This window comes from Homo sapiens, chromosome 9 (assembly GCF_000001405.40).
Source record: "Homo sapiens chromosome 9, GRCh38.p14 Primary Assembly".
NCBI classification, from domain to species: domain Eukaryota; kingdom Metazoa; phylum Chordata; class Mammalia; order Primates; family Hominidae; genus Homo; species Homo sapiens.
In genome coordinates, this window is record NC_000009.12 from 117,647,030 (window position 1) to 117,664,058 (window position 17,029).

A 17,029-nucleotide genomic window follows, 5' to 3' on the forward strand; every position below is an offset into this window, starting at 1 on the left:
GCAGCAGCCTAACGCATCCTCTTTCTGCAGATGTACAGACCAAGTCTAAATGAGGTGGCACACATTCAACGAGGGTAAGGTAGGATGGGTACAAAATGCCCACAGATGCCCCAGGAAGCAGACCAAGAGCAGGGAAGTCATTTGGAAACAGACCTTCTTTCAAGTTCTGACTTCACTCTTACTAGATCAAAAGCTGTGGACATAAGACATGACTTTTTCAAACTTTAGTTTTTTCAACTATACAATGAGGATAAATGTGCCTGCCTTTTGAGAAGATTAAATGAGATGAAATTAAATGAAATGAAATGATGTAAAGTGTTTAGTATGGATTCCACACATGCTGGTTGTTATTATGCCACATACCGTCTACATGAACCATCCATTCCGAGACCTCTTATTTTATTTTTTTATTTTTTTATTTCTTTTTTGAGACGGAGTCTCACTTTGCCTTGTCACCCAGACTGGAGTGCAGTGGTGCAATCTCGGTTCACTGCACCCTCCACCTCCCCAGGTTCAAGCGATTCTCCTGCCTCGGCCTCCTGAGTAGCTGGGATTACAGGCACATGCCACCATGCCTGGCTAATTTTTGTATTTTCTAGTAGAGATGGGGTTTTGTCATGTTGGCCAGACTGGTCTCAAATTCCTGACCTCGGTGATCCACCCACCTTGGCCTTGCAAAGTGCTGAGATTACAGGCATGAGACACCATGCCCAGCCTCCTAGACCTTCTTTCAACCAATATCAGACACAAGGGAGAGAGAAACTGTATTATTTATCTATTGCTGCATAACAAATTATCTCAAAATGTAGCAACTTAAAACCATGATAAACTCTGCCACCTTTCATAGTTATGTGAATCAGAATTTAAGGAGAGGCTTATGGGTGATCATGGCTCAGCATCTCTCAGGAGGTGGTAGCCAAAATGTTGGCCTGGGCCATAGTCATCTAAGGGCTCACCTGTGGTTGGGGTATCTGTCTCCCAGGTGGCTCAACTGTCAGGTCCATGATGACTGCTGTGAATGGCCCCAGTTCCTGGTCATCTGGATTTCTCCATAGGGCTGTTTGCTGAATTCCTTCACAGTATGGTGGCTGGCTCCTTACAAAAAGAGCCATCCAAGAGAGCAAGATGGAACCTGCAGTGTTGTTTATGGCTTATCTTAAAAGTCAAACCACCATCTTCACAACATCTTACAGGTGACATTGGTCAGCTCTACCCAGTATGGAAGTAGTCTGCACAGGGGCACACTATCAATCAAGTAGAATAACAAAGGGCAATCTTGGAAGCTGGCTGCTGCAAAGCCTCCTCCTGCAAAGCCTGCAAATCCTGCTCCTACTCTAGACTCATAGTTTTTTACTAAGAATTTGTTTTGGGAATGCCTCAGTCTTTTTAGTTAAATGGTCATGATGGGGTAACATTGGCAACAGACCCTCAGAAATCAAGGTGTCCACTTCATAAAGCACTACATGGACACATCAGAAAAAGTGTGAGATGGGCAAGCGCTCCTAACTGAAGCATCAAGGACCAATGAGTCTACAGGACCCACTGTTCTCTCAACTTCCAATGCAGCCCTTCTTCTGCTACCTTACCCTGAGGACTTGGACATTCCAGCGTATCGCAGAACCGGAATTCAGCTCCCATTGCCCACAACAGTGCTTCCCTGCCTCAGGTGGGTCCTCAGAATCATTAAGCGTGCTTGTTGAGTTTAAAAATTCCAGGGTACCTCGTGGAGAGACTTACTCGGGAGGCTTGGGAGGAAGGCTGGGAATCTGTGTTTTGGACCATCATCTCAGATGATTCTTAATATCAAGCAAATTTGGGAAGGTACTGAAGAGCTAATGGGAGGCATATAGAGCTGAGTTCCTCTCTCAGTCACACCACGTGTGCATTGAAGTTGCTCATAGCCTTTGGCCTCACAGCCATTGCTAGTCTCGCTCATCTTCCCTGGCTGGCTCTTCTACGTCTTGCCTTGCATGTCTGTGTCTATGGATGCCTAATCCTACTCCCCTCCACTGCCAGCGCCAAATTGACATCCTGCAAAAACACACAGAATGTTTGAGTGTTTTGTCTGTTTGGACAAGCAGGGGGTTCCCTGGGCATTTGGAGATAATTTCTTGGTTAAATTATATATTTTTCTCCTTTCATGTTTGAAAAAAACAAATTGGCTTCTTTACAGTTGCCTAATCTTTCCCTCCTCATTTCCTGCTGAGAAGACAAATCTTCTACTCTTTTTTTTTTTTTTAAAAGTCCCCAGCACACTCATAATCAGTCAGTTTATAAACCAACGTTCCAGCCCAAAGTATTGCATGAGTAAGGGGGAAAATCCTTTGTTTAACCACAGACTATTTCCCTAAATTTCCATTGTTTGAGAGTGACCTCTTGGATGTCACTCATTCTGCAGAAAAATTGTGTGGTTTTATTCTGGTCCACGGTTTCTATGCTTGTATATTGACGGGGTTCCTATCATGTGTTCTTTTCTAAAAAGTCAACAAGGAAAACAAGTGGGTTAAGCCCTCAACTAGTCTACTAGGAGAAAGCTAAGGGGGAGACATAATTTAAATGCAAGGTAGAATGTGAAGGCAAAGTGTCGTGGTTCATTCCTGTAATTCCAGCACTTTGGGAGGCCAAAGCAGGAGGATCCCTTGAGCCCAGGAATTCAGAAGCAGCCTGGGCAACATAGTGAGACTCCATCTCTAAACAAACAAAAAAATAATGGGCATGGTGGTACACACCTGTAGTCCCAACTCCCTGGGAGGCTGAGATGGGAGGATCACTTGAGTCTTGGAGGTCGAGGCTGCAGTGAGCCATGCTTGCACCACTGCACTCTAGCCTGGGTAATAGAGCAATATCCTGTCTCAAAAACAAAAAAATCGAATGAAAAGTGTCTTAAAAGAACTGAACCTAAAGTAACATAAAGTGAACATATAGAAAACTCAAAGGAGGGAAAAACATTCCAAGAGACAATCACAGAAGGCATTGAGCATAGAAGTTTAGGGCATGAGACTCTGCCGTTAGATCACAGGATTCAAACTCCAGCTTCACCAAACACGAGTTCTTTGATTTGGGGGAAGTCCATTAATCAATCTTTCTGGGTCTCAGTGCCATTGTCTGTGAAATGGGGATAATAAAAGTTCTCAACTTTGGGTGGTTATGAGAATTCAGTGAGTTAATATAGAGTAACTAATCAGTGTCTAGTATGTAGCATGGGCTCAAAAAATTAATTGCTTTTGAGCTGAGCTTTGAAGGATGGGTGAGACTTTGGCATGTATAGGTGGAGGTGGGCAGGGAGATTCTTCTAGACTAAGAAAATAACAGGAGAAAACCCCAAAGCGGGAGAGGAGTGATTGTCAGGCATCTATGAGAACAGAAGTGCCCTTTAGTTGAAGAAAAGGGTGAGTAAGGAGTGGAGGAAGATCAGGTGCAAGGATGTGTTGAGATCCGATCTCCCCCCTTTTTAATGGCTTGCTTACTTCATTGATTATACTACTATTATATCATGTTAATTATAGAATGAATCCTTGTGGGGCATATATGGTGGTAAATACAATTATTTTAACTCTTCTTAAGTTGAAGAAATGGTTACACTAAAATAATGGGAACTTACATTGCTCTGTTTCATTTTGCTCAATATTTCGTCTCCATAATTTCTGGTAAAATAGCCTCAAGCCTGACAACAAAAACGGTCCAAGGCTATCAGGAATTGATACTTTTATGCCGGCAGCTGGGAGACATGTAACCTTCCAGAAGATTTTACAAAATTTAAAGTTGATAGTGCATTTGTCTTGTTTGAAAGACATCTAATTCTTTCTTTCCCTTTTTCTTTAGTTTCATAGAAATGATCCCTTCGTAACTCAGCAGCTCATATACAGTGATAAAGTATCAAGTCCATCGTTTTCCCAAATCAAGAGCAATGCATCCCACACAAATGGGCAAGAATTGCAGCTGACAGAGGTAGGATTTTTCAAAGATCCCTTGGCCCAGTTGGATCCTTTAAACCTCAGGAATTTCTTTCTGATGTGAAAGGCATGGAAATTTGAAAAGAGAGCTGACCTGGTGAGGACCATAGAGAATGGGGTATGTTCTTTCTGGGGAAAGGGGGGCAAGAAAAAAAAAGCTACTTGGAGAAAGGAACGTTTCTGATAAAGATTTTTAAGGTAGATAGCTGGAGAACAAGAACTATAAACTATACTTTCATCGCCATAGGAAAACTATAGTGAAATCTTCAGAAGAAACCAAGAAATGTTGGGCATGATTGAAATTCTGGAATGAAGATGCAGAGAACCCAAGGGCTGATTCTGCATGGATGAGAGAGCTGGTTTATATCCAGTATCACAAACAGTAACTTCTTTGATACTTGTAACAATATTATAAGTAGAGATAAATTCTGTTATAGATGAGGAAACTGGGCATTTGAGCGTTACAGCTGGTCAATGACAGAGCCCTGGCTCTATCCCAGAAATGTGGGATGCTAAACGTGTGCTCTAGAGGTCTGTATAATCCTGATGGTTGATGCAGGGACCTGGCCTCATTCATCTTTGTATCCTCCATGTCCAATACAAACCCTGGCATAGAGTAGATTTTTCAGTACTTGTTTGTTGAGTGAATGTTTCAAGAGCTCCATTGTCTCCTAACTAAAGCATATAGGTGTGTTGGTTTTATGGGAAGAAAACTGCTCAACCAGCACCAACTCTGGTTGGCAGAGTTGTGCATCGATGTGCAAGAGGATGCATGATTCTAAGGAAACCCTCCTGGGTCAGTGGAACTGTTGCAAGATGCTGGCAGTGGATTTACAAGGAATAGAGGAAGGCATGGCAATGGAGTCCAATCATTTACCTTTAAAACTGTTTATAGACTAAAGTGTATATGTGGCCCATGTTGCCAAACCTTTTGATAAATATACTGGTCTGGAGTAGAGTAAGTCATGGCTGTACCTTCCAAGTAACAGACTGTCCTCACAAGCTGTATACCTAATTAGACTCTGATAATCTGTATAAATTAGCATTTGCTAGTGATAAATATCACACACCAAGCCTTAAATAATACATTAGACTTAATTGAATAAATGCATATATTATGGCCTTATAATGCATATTTGCCATAATGAGTTATCTTCCATGCACAAACAAACAGCAATTCTGATTAATCAGGTGGGGCAATTGTGCTGTTAAAACTCCAGGTTCTGCAAGGAAGTTCTCACTGTTGGTAAGATAAAAGCAATAAAAATTCTTTCCTTGACTATGTTGGATAAATTTTCTCTTTAGGAATCTCCCTATCTTTGAACCTTCAGGATTTTGCAGTGATGTCAAGGTTTACACCCATGTCTTCACTCCCAAAATTTGGATTTGAGCCTCAGATCTACTATTTACTAACTCTATGATCTTTGACAAATCACTCGAATTCCTGATGCCTTAAGAATCCTTTGTAAGTTCCTGTTGTCTCTATCAGTTCAGAGGGGAACAATAATACTCATCTTACTAATGTGGGACAATAAGTAGTGTTACATGGAAAGCAGCTAATGCAGCAGCAAGCTCATAGAAAGTGCCTGGCAAATGGAAGCTATTATCATTATGGAACATATTTTAAAATTTGCTATCCATTATCTCATTCAATCATGATAAGAAATATGTGGCTGGGTGTGGTGACTTACAAGTGTAATCCCAGCAGTTTGGGAGGTTGAGGCAGGTGGATCACCTGAGGTCAGGAGTTCGAGACCAGCCTGACCAATATGATGAAATCCATCTCTACTAAGAATACAAAAATTAGCCAGGCATACTGGCATGCACCTGTAGTTCCAGCTACTCAGGAGGCTGAGGCACAAGAATTGCTTGAACCTGGGAGGCAGAGACTAAAGTGAGCCAATATTGTGCCACTGCACTCCAGTCTAGTGAGTGAGTCTACTCACCACTCCAGAGTAGTGAGACTCTGTCTGAAAAAAAAAAAAAAAGGAAATATGTGAAGAGAGGGCAGATGTTATTTTGCCCAATCTTTAAAATCAAAGAAAGTGCCCCTGAGATTAAATTATTTATTTATTTACTCAACAAATATTTACTGATCACACAAGGCCAAGTGTAGGAGATACAGTAATGAAAAGGTCTGGGCCCTCCCTGCCTAGTTGAATTTACAGTATAGTGGGGAGGGGCATTAAGAAATTACCAATAATTATGATATTGCCATAATGAAAGTATACACAAAACGCAGCAGCACAATCTGGGAAACAGCACCCAAGTCATTCTCTGAAAGCCAAAGAAGTTTTTGAAGAGATTATAAGAGTTGAGTGGGAATATGGACAACAAAGAGTTTGATTGTTGCTTGTAATGGGGAATATTTTCCAGGAAAAGGGAAGAGATGTGTCAGAGATCAACTGGGTACATCAGGAGTCAAGGCAAAAAATTACAAACCATTAAATGAATCTGGAGTAAAGTTTCTTACCTTGGGTGCTATTAACATTTGGAGCCAGGTAATCATAGTTTTAGGGGTTGTCATGCAGATGGTGGGATGTTTAGCAAACATCGCTGACTTTTACTCACCAGATACTAGTGACTGTAGCATCCTTTTCCATCCCCTCACTGTGACAATCAACAATGTCTCCATGTCTATTGCCAAGTGTTCCTGAGCAGAGTGACACAGTCTCCTGCAGTTGAGGATCATTGATCTAGAGCATTGATTACAACGGAAGGCGTCTAAAGGATGAGGCAAAAGTGAAAGCCAGATTATGGTGAGCTTCTTCTGCCATATGAAAATAAGTTTTATTTTCCTTTTAGGTGATTGGGAACAATCTTCTTATAAACACATGGGGGAATCCTCTTATTATAACTCACATAAAATCCACATTTTCCCAATTTACCAGTCTGTGAATTCATTATGAGCGATAATTCAAGTTGTAGTATCTCCCTGCCACACCCGTTGACACAGGACTTGTCCATTTTTTCTCCTCCTGCAAAACCTCCTCCTCTCCCATCCCCTGAAGAGTGTTGTTGTTGTTGTTGTTTTATTTAATTCCTGGAAGTTTCTTACGTATGCTCAGGGACACATTTTGCTTTGCAGCTCCCCGTGTTCCCTCAGGAACTTCTGCTGTGTTGGACAGCAGAATTTCCCACAGATGGCCAAAAAGACATTGCTAGGAAAGCTCTTACAAAGCCATGTCCTTTCTGGTCCAGTCCTAGGAACTATAATGGAGAATATGGTCCAATCACCCAAAAGCATTTTCAGCATACATTCATCTTTACTTGCAATCCTCAAATAACACTACAGTAATGCCATGCATAGGCCACATCCACACTCATTAAAATGTCCTACGTTTTCCTTCCAGCCTTTCTGTCACAATTCCATAAAACAAACCACACATACAAAAATAAATTAGCTAAAAATAAATTAGCTAAAAACTTATTCACCCGCATCTCTGTGCAGCCTTTCTTTGTGCTTCAAGGAAAACCTTCTCCAGCCAAAGTTCATGCACCTCCTGTGCTTTCTTCCTCCTTTCCTTTAGTCTCTGTGGCCTTTGCTTTATTTTCTGTTTTATGTATTATAAAAACCTAAGCAAAGCATTTGTTCCCATCCAGAAGTTGTAGCAGTCTGCATGGCCACTGTGACTAATTTAGCAATGGTGCACTGGTGGCCATCCTTGCTTCGCCAACCCCTGCCGTGACACCTCTTTTCCATGTGACACGACTTTCCTTGGAGGGTATTTCTGCTTCTCTGTCCACTGTGCACCATGGTTTCTCCGTGGTTCTAAAGTTTCCTAACAGTGGTTGCCACTGACCTGCCAGTGCCACCGTTCATCCCTTGAGTCATCACAGAGCAAGAGATTCTCAGAAGCCTGAGGCAAAGTTGAAGGGGATATTTAACTCCTCCTCCTCCCCCATTTATGTTACAGCTTATTAGAGAGGTCCTATGGCAGTGTAGACTGTTCCTCCTTGCTTGCCTGCATTTGCTGAACTAGAGCTTTCACTGTCTGCTTGCAGCACATATACCCTTCCAGTTCACTGGCTTAGCAACAGATTCAAAGAACGGTCTTAGTACTGTACCTGAAATTATGATCCACTCTGATGATTAGACTTTGTTCTTGGGTCACCTGACTCAGCTGTCCTTACCTTTCATTCGTAGGTAAATATAGACATAGACACAGATCTATAGAAAATTATACAGATATAGATGTAGATATAGATATAGGGAGATAGCCATCTATAAATACCGATATCTATAGATATAAATATCAATGCAGACACTGATCTGTCTATATCTATACCTATATAGATATCTGTATCTACCTATACATATCTCTATGAATATTCATTTATTATCTCCCTATAGATATTCATTTAGTGTCTCCCTATAAAAATCTATATAAATATTGATATCTATCTCTATCTATACCTGTTCATATCTATCTATACACTGCCTCTCCCACTCACATCCCGTGGTGATTCTTATGAATTAGGCTTCAGCTGGGCCACCTGCTTGCCAGACACATCCACCATGCCTGCTCTCTATTTTGGATGCAGCCTACCTGCAAACAAGTATTTCCACTGAAATCTATTCCTTTATCCTCATTTTTATGTATATATTCATTTCTCACTATCAGGTTGTATGTTTTTCCTGTAAGCCACCACAAACCTTTTGTGCAATGAGATAGGTGATGAATAAAGCATGGATGAATCCACGCATTAGATGAGTATGTGAAGTGGATATGGAGAGCACATAAGAACCAAGAGCAGACAGAGCCCTAAGGAAAGACCTGGCTGACCTGCCGGAAGGAAAATAGGTAATTTAGGATAAGCGATGTATAACCTCTAATCCAGTGTAAAAGTACCAAACAGATTACAATGGTGAATGCTCATAAGATTGTCCCCATTTGTGTGACATTCTCAGAAAATAAGATATTCTACTTAATTGACTTTTTTAGAAAACTGAAGCTTATTTCTTTCAAAAGAACATACTGGCCTTTTTAATCATGTTTACAGAATTCTTTCTAAATAGAAGATTACAAACTAATCTTCTATAGAAACTGATAGATTTTGTTTTACTTTTATGTGATTGTTTGAAATTGGCATTATAAACATCTGATCTGATACCATACCCTAATACAGTAGTGCCTTGGTGTCTTGTTTCTTAGCATTTTAAATAGCTTCTATGTATTGGGTGCTTACGTTGTGCTTGGCACTGTGTGTAATGATCTCATCCATTATCACACTGGTTTCTCATGAGACATGTCCTATTGAGGCATGCCGAGCTTTTGCCCTTTTACTAAATAGCTTCATTTATGCTGCTTCTTAAATTCTTATGGCTGCATTTTGTGATTTTTTCTGTCTCCCTTCTTATTGTCTGGAAAGCTCTTACTCAGCTTCTAATTTTCTGCTTTTAATCTTCTAGGTATTAGGAATCCTGAAAACCATACTTCAGAGGATTATGTATCAAGAAAGTTGGGGTCTAGGTGAGAGTCTTGTGATTTGGTTGAATTAAAATTAATGCAGCACTTCCAGCCCTGCAGTCATTCAGGAGTCCCCAACTTACTACCAGTGGGAGCCAGGTTGAGAACACACAGACCTCCCAGCCAGCTGTCTCTGTATCTACAGAGTTGAACTGGACTTAGTTTTTGTATGATATCTCTTGAATGAACAAACTTGGATATTATGGGGAAAAACTATGTTTTGATTTTATAAATGTTGTTATTGATAGGTGACAGGGAGGTAATAACTGCTTATTAGCATTTAATGTGTCTGATCATTCAATTAATCTTGTAGAAATTACTCTTAGACTTTCAACAACATGTAACTATAAGCACATATCATTTGTTTCAATTTAATACAGTGGCTGAAAAGGATATCTAAGAATTGTTTGTACCTCTGGGCATATCTTAGTGAGAGACTTCTCATAGCATTTGTTTAAACCTTATGAAAACTGTATTTAGTCATGGACTGACATGAATTGTTCATTGGATTCATTAGGGATTATATCTAAGATAAGATTTATTGCATTTATAATAAAATGTGTGAATGAAGAAATAAAATGTTAATGTTTCTTAATATCTGGTAGGATCTGCTAGAATGACAGATGCTGTGGGGATATGGCTAGAAGGTAAGGATGCTGAGTTTTTGTTTGAGTCTTTTTTACAATTCTTTCTTTCTAGGTTGGTAGACACCATGGTGAACCCAAGAGGCAGAGCTGTGAATAGATATTTTTATAGAAGCCTTGAATTTTGAAATGATAAAAATATTCACAGTAGAGTGCTATGTGGAATGCTTACTGCATGTGACTCTATGACTTAACATTGGAGCTTGGATCATCTCTACTCATTTTGCCTTTACCCTGAAGATAATCTTCCCTCAGTAACCCATGATTTAGACAAAAATAATGTGATCTTAGAAAGGAAGTTCAATATCCAGAATTGTGGCTCATCTCATAACTGTGGAGAGCCGACTCAGTGTGTTCTAGAAATAACAAAAGATTGGAGAGAGGGTTCAAGGATCCAGATCCAGGCCCTACCTCTATCACCTGGTGTCTACCTCTATCACTTGGTGTCTTGCAAGTGACTTGCAGTTTTTTTTTTTTTTTATACTTTAAGTTCTAGGGTACATGTACACAATGTGCAGATTTGTTACATATGTATACATGTGCCATGTTGGTGTGCTGCACCCAGTAACTCGTCATTTACATTAGGTATATCTCCTAATGCTATCCCGCCCCCTCCCCCAACCCCACGACAGGCCCCGGTGTGTGATGTTCCCCTTCCTGTGTCCAAGTGTTTTCATTGTTCAGTTCCCACCTATGAGTGAGAACATGCGGTGTTTGTTTTTTTTTGACCTTGTGATAGTTTGCTGAGAATGATGGTTTCCAGTTTCATCCATGTCCCTACAAAGGACATGAACTCATCCTTTTTTATGGCTACATAGTATTCCATGATGTATATGTGCCACATTTTCTTAATCTAGTCTATCATTGATGGACATTTGGGTTGGTTCCAAGTCTTTGCTATTGAGAATAGTGTTGCAATAAACATACGTGTGCATGTGTCTTTATAGCAGCATGATTTATAATCCTTTGGGTATATACCCAGTAATGGGATGGCTGGGCCAAATGGTATTTCTATTTCTAGATCCTTGAGGAATCGCCACACTGTCTTCCACAGTGGTTGAACTAGTTTACAGTCCCACCAACAGTGTAAAAGTGTTCCTATTTCTCCACATCCTCTCCAGCACCTGTTTTTTCCTGACTTTTTAATGATCGCCATTCTAACTGGCATGAGATGGTATCTCATTGTGGTTTTGATTTGCATTTCTCTGGTGGCCAGTGATGATGAGCATTTTTTCATGTGTCTGTTGGCTGCATAAATGTCTTCTTTTGAGAAGTGTCTGTTCATATCCTTCGTCCACTTTTTGATGGGGCTGTTTGTTTTTTTTCTTGTAAATTGGTTTGAGTTCTTTGTGGATTCTGGATATTAGCCCTTTGTCAGATGAGCAGATTGAGAAAATTTTCTCCCATTCTGTAGGTTGCCTATTCACTCTGATGGTAGTTTCTTTTGCTGTGCAGAAGCTCTTTAGTTTAATTAGATCCCATTTGTCAATTTTGGCTTCTGTTGCCATTGCTTTTGGTGTTTTAGACATGAAGTCCTTGCCCGTGCCTATGTCCTGAATGGTATTGCCTAGGTTTTCTTCTAGGGTTTTTATGGCTTTAGCTCTAACATTTAAGTCTTTAATCCATCTTGAATTAATTTTTGTATAAGGTGTAAGGAAGGGATCCAGTTTCAGCTTTCTACATATGGCTAGCCAGTTTTCCCAGCACCATTTGTTAAATAGGGAATCCTTTCCCCGTTTCTTGTTTTTGTCAGGTTTGTCAAAGATCAGATAGTTGTATATATGTGGTATTATTTCTGAGGGCTCTGTTCTGTTCCATTGGTCTATATCTCTGTTTTGGTACCAGTACCATGCTGTTTTGGTTACTGTAGCCTTGTAGTGTAGTTTGAAGTCAGGTAGCGTAATGCCTCCAGCTTTGTTCCTTTGGCTTAGGATTGACTTGGCAATGAGGGCTATTTTTTGGTTCCATATGAACTTTAAAGTAGTTTTTTCCAATTCTGTGAAGAAAGTCATTGGTAGCTTGATGGGGATGGCATTGAATCTATAAATTACCTTGGGCAGTATGGCCATTTTCATGATATTGCTTCTTCCTACCCATGAGCATGGAATGTTCTTCCATTTGTTTGTGTCCTCTTTTATTTCCTTGAGCAGTGGTTTGTAGTTCTCCTTGAAGAGGTCCTTCACATCCCTTGTAAGTTGGATTCCTAGGTATTTTATTCTCTTTGAAGCAATTCTGAATGGGAATTCACTCATGGTTTGGCTCTCTGTTTGTCTGTTATTGGTGTATAAGAACACTTGTGATTTTTGTACATTGATTTTGTATCCTGAGACTTTGCTGAAGCTGCTTATCAGCTTAAGGAGATTTTGGGCTGAGACGATGGGATTTTCTAAATATACAGTCATGTCGTCTGCAAATAGGGACAATTTGACTTCCTCTTTTCCTAATTGAATACACTTTATTTCTTTCTCCTGCCTGATTGCCCTGGCTAGAACTTCCAACACTTTGTTGAATAGGAGTGGTGAGAGAGGGCATCCTTGTCTTGCAGTTTTATCTCTAAGTTGAAGAGGGTAGTAGTGCCTACTGTAGAGGATTATTGGGAAAATTACATGCAATAATGTGTGTCTATGGAGAACACTGTGGAAACTTCAGTACGCCATCTATACTTTGTGTTAGTATCATTCAGGCAATATCCCTAATATTTCATCTCCTTTCACATCAGTATGGAGGCAGGAAAAATTAAGGAGTGAGTCCTTGAAGTGAATAAGGGCCACCAATTTAATGCCCCATGAAATTTAGTAGCCTGTAAGGGGGCCTTTTTGAAGTGAGCCACCAACTATCCTTTTATGTTTCTGTGTTGCCTTGAAGTAGTTTGTATACAACTATATTGATCCTCACTAGCCATAAAGGAAAAGACTTTGCTTCTGCTTCCCATTGTAAAAAGACCCCATGTAGGTAGTCTCCTGGGAAATCTAATAGGGACTCCTCCTTTTGGTCCTGTACACCACTTTTGATTTTCATAGCATCTCAAGATCTCTGTCTTTGGAAAAATTACTCTGCACAGTAAGCACATTCTTCAGGGGGAAGGTGAAGAAGAACTGATATATGGTACACTTAACATACACAGGTACATTTTACGCTCCATCATAATTAGTCCTCAAACTAACCTTGGGAAGAAGAGAGTATAATCCCTATATCATGAATAAGGGAATTGATGTTCCTAAGTTATTTATTTGATTTCCTACTGATAGCGATGGTCAGTGATGAACCTAAACTGTTCTCTCTAACATCTAAATCAATGCTAGCTTCACTAGACCATGCTGCCTCTGTGGAGGCAGGTAGAACTTGCCTCATGTTTAAGAAGGGCCGGAAGATTCACCAAAGGGATAATAAGACTTGTATTATGGTATTTTCCTGCCATATTGTACACTTGAGAAAACCATATGACTTCTTTGAAACTTCTGTTTTCTCCACCCTTGCACATCTCCCCGGCTTGTTGAAGATCAAATGAAATAATGAAAGCCAAAGTGCTTGGTAGGCTGACAAGTGCTATGTGAAAGTGAGATGTTGATACTATCCAAAGAAATCTTACCAAGTTTTGTCTGATATTTAAGAGGGTGCAAGTGAGAATATCACTCAGCTACTACTTACAGAAAGCAACATTTTTTCTACACCCTGTGAGTTGGTGTAGGAGAACCAGCTACTTGTGTTCTTGGCAATAACTGTTACCAGTAATATTTCAGTTAAAGTGACCGCTAATTAATCAGAATTGCATTGAATTTATAGTATAATCCAATTTTAATGGCAACACGTCTGCCACTTTTGGTATCTACTCTTAAGTAGAGAAGTTTTCTGGACCCAGCTTCCCAGTCTATTAACTTCTTCATTTGGGCTGGAAACCATTGTGTCTATTATAACTCCTTTAGAGCTATTTCTTGATAAGGAAAAATATGGAATGGCTTAGCATGGTAGTATTTTAATCCTCAAGGTTACTAGAATTATATATAATAAAAATATTAGAACTTGAAGGGAAGAACTTACAGATCAACTAATTATTGATTTGCTAATTTATTTAATTCTAACCTTTATTAAGAACTTCCCTGTGCCAGGCACTACACTAGGGATCAGGAAGACAGAAATGGAAGGCAAAAGTTTTTGCTTTTCAAGGGTCCCAAGTCTGGAGAAATAGTCTGCATTTTGTAAATTCCATAAGTTGTTTGCTGAAGGTCATGTCATTATTAGTTAGTGGACAGATCAAAGAAAACTAACCTGGAATATTCTAATCCAAAAAAGTTTGTAGGTAGACTTTCTCCTCACTAACTCCTTGAAAGCATTAGAATATGCTCTTCTAAGGCTTGTATTCATTTGTTGGGTTTTCAGAGCAAGGTATACAGCCACATACTGACATTGTAAGTCCAGGCTCATTATGGGTGAGTCACATGTGCATGTTGGAGAAGGACATAGGGGGTTTCAAGGTGATGAATAGCTAGGGTTTGCAGTCAGCCATTTCTGCCCTTGGCACATATCTGTTATGAGGACTTGAGAAGTCATTTAATCTTGCATGGCTTTATTTTAAATGGGAGCACTAATACCTACCTTATAAGCAGTTGGATAGAGGATGAAAAAAATGTGTAAAATTCTTATTGCAGTATTTATCACAAAATAAGTATTTAAGCATCCTAGTTACCATGATGATTCATACCTATCCCAGACTGGGAAGAGATCTAGCCCCATCTTGACTCTGACACTTGGTATCTTTTGGATCTTGGGAAAGACAATTTATTTCTCCAAGTTTATTTTTCTTTCTCTGGATGATGAAAATTTTAATAACTTTCCTTAGGGGTTAGTGAGGGGATTTTCCTTTATTTATACATTTATTTTATATACCCATGTCAAACTCCTCTTATGCACCAGGAAATGTTCTAGCTCCTGGAGAATCAGTAATGAACAAGGGTAGCATAATACATGTGAAGTATCTGGGAGATCGTAGGAACTTAAATGCAAGCTAACCTCATTGCACTAATAATCACAGCAGATCTGCTATTACCATTCAATCAAACTTGGTTATAAAAATAATTAATATTATCTACTCAAAATTACTGTTTCACCCACAAGACATATTTATCCCCTTATGCATTTGTGATTTTAATACACTGGCAGTCTCAACAGCCTATCCCAGGTTACTGAGACCACCAAGATAAAACGTTAGAATTTCCACACATTGGTATGTATTCCCTCTTCCATGGTACCTTCCATCTGACCTCCTCCAGCCTCTGAATTTCTATTTAATAAGAAGCTGAGTGGAAAATCAGACCTTCACCCCTGGAAATCCATTTGCTTCTGCCTGTGTTTACAAAACTGATGATGCCTTGCAACAAACTCGATCTTCTTACTGACTTCTAGTCACAGTGTATTTGGGGGATTAACAATGATAATTTAGTTCTAAGCCCTATTCTCTTGATTTAAACAGTTGCACCAACAACTGTGAGCTTCATTTCTTTCCTAGGTCTGTCTACCTCCCGATGTACTACACCTGTGAAATAGGTCTTGAGAAGTACCTTATTAGGCATTGGGGTGATATACTGCTTAAACAGGAGAGGTCTGTCCTAGTTGCTTATGAATGCCTGAATTCCTTAGCTGAGTTCTGGAGCCACCCACAGATCTGCTATCTACCCCTGTGGAGCTGACTTGGAAGCCGTGAGTTGCAGACATTGATTTGCTGACCCTTAATCTGGGTGCAATCAAACAGAACACCCTGGTATGTGGCTTATGCACTCACTTGGTTCAGCTAAGGACAAGGACCTAAGTCCAGGTCACTTCCCCTGGCTCTAACACATCATACCCTGATTTACCTGTAAAAGCAAGTGCTTCTAGGGCAGCGACTTACAAACTAGGTTTCTGAGGAGGTAGCTTTGAGTTAGCCTGGGCGGAGGCAGGGGAAGGACTTCTTTGGGTCCCACATGATCTATCTTAGGCAGAACAGTTTTGATTATATTTATTTGCTATATATTTGGCTTCTCTTAAAAAGATAATTTAAAAAATTATTCTTGGGCTCATTTATTTATGTTTGGAAACAACCCTTTAGGGTAATTGTTTTGCTCTTTTATCTTCCTAATCCTTTCCTTGCACTCTTAAATATGGTGACCCTAGGATTTCTCCATAGCTGTATTAGTCCATTCTCACACTGCAATAAGGAAATACCCGAGACAGGGTAATTTATAAAGGAAAGAGGTATAATTGACTCACAGTTCTACATGGCTGGGGAGGCCTCAGGAAGCTTACAATCATGGTGGAAGGGGAAGCGAGGACCTTCTTCACATGGCAGCAGGAGAGAGAAGAGCTAGAAAGAGCAGGGAAACTCCTTATAAAACCATCAGATCTTGTGAGAGCTCACTCACTATTATGAAAACAGCATGGGGGAACCCACCCACCATGATACAATTGCCTCCCACAGGGTCTCTCCCGTGACACTTGGGGATTCTGGGGATTACAATCCAAGATGAGATTTGGGTGGGGACACAACCAAATCATATCAATAGCTATTTGTTTTATTTCTCCTAACGTAGAGTTGATGTGGAGGGTTGGCTTGTTAGGGGTGGAAAGGCAGTATTCCCTACCTCATGATCTCTGTCAATGCCCTTCTAAGCCACCCCGTCATATACAGCCTAATCAAGGGCTTCATAGATTTTAATGTGTGCACAACGGGTTATTTTATTAAAATGAGATTCTGATTCAATAGGTTGGAATGAAACCTGAGATTCTAACAAGCTCTGTGATGATGCTAATGCTGCTAGTGTGTGGACCACCCTTTGAGTCAAGAGGGCCTAGGTAAATGTAATGTGTTCAATACAAAAACACAACCTCAAGACAAATTCCTCTTTACCCCATTGCTAATCTAATTGTGGCTCCTATGTAGAAAACCTGGAGTTGCTACTGTTTCTTCACACTACGTTGCCTGGTATGA

General features: G+C 40.0%; 1 long non-coding RNA gene across 1 annotated transcript; it reads left to right on the plus strand.

The window, feature by feature from the left end:
• The first annotated feature begins 1,576 nt into the window (after window positions 1–1,576).
• LOC101928797 (uncharacterized) lies at window positions 1,577–9,998 on the plus strand. Its single transcript, NR_109806.1, has 6 exons — window positions 1,577–1,666; window positions 3,823–3,948; window positions 5,259–5,418; window positions 6,602–6,712; window positions 8,579–8,758; window positions 9,367–9,998. It is a non-coding gene; the product is annotated as an uncharacterized LOC101928797 (long non-coding RNA).
• The last annotated feature ends 7,031 nt before the right edge of the window (window positions 9,999–17,029 follow it).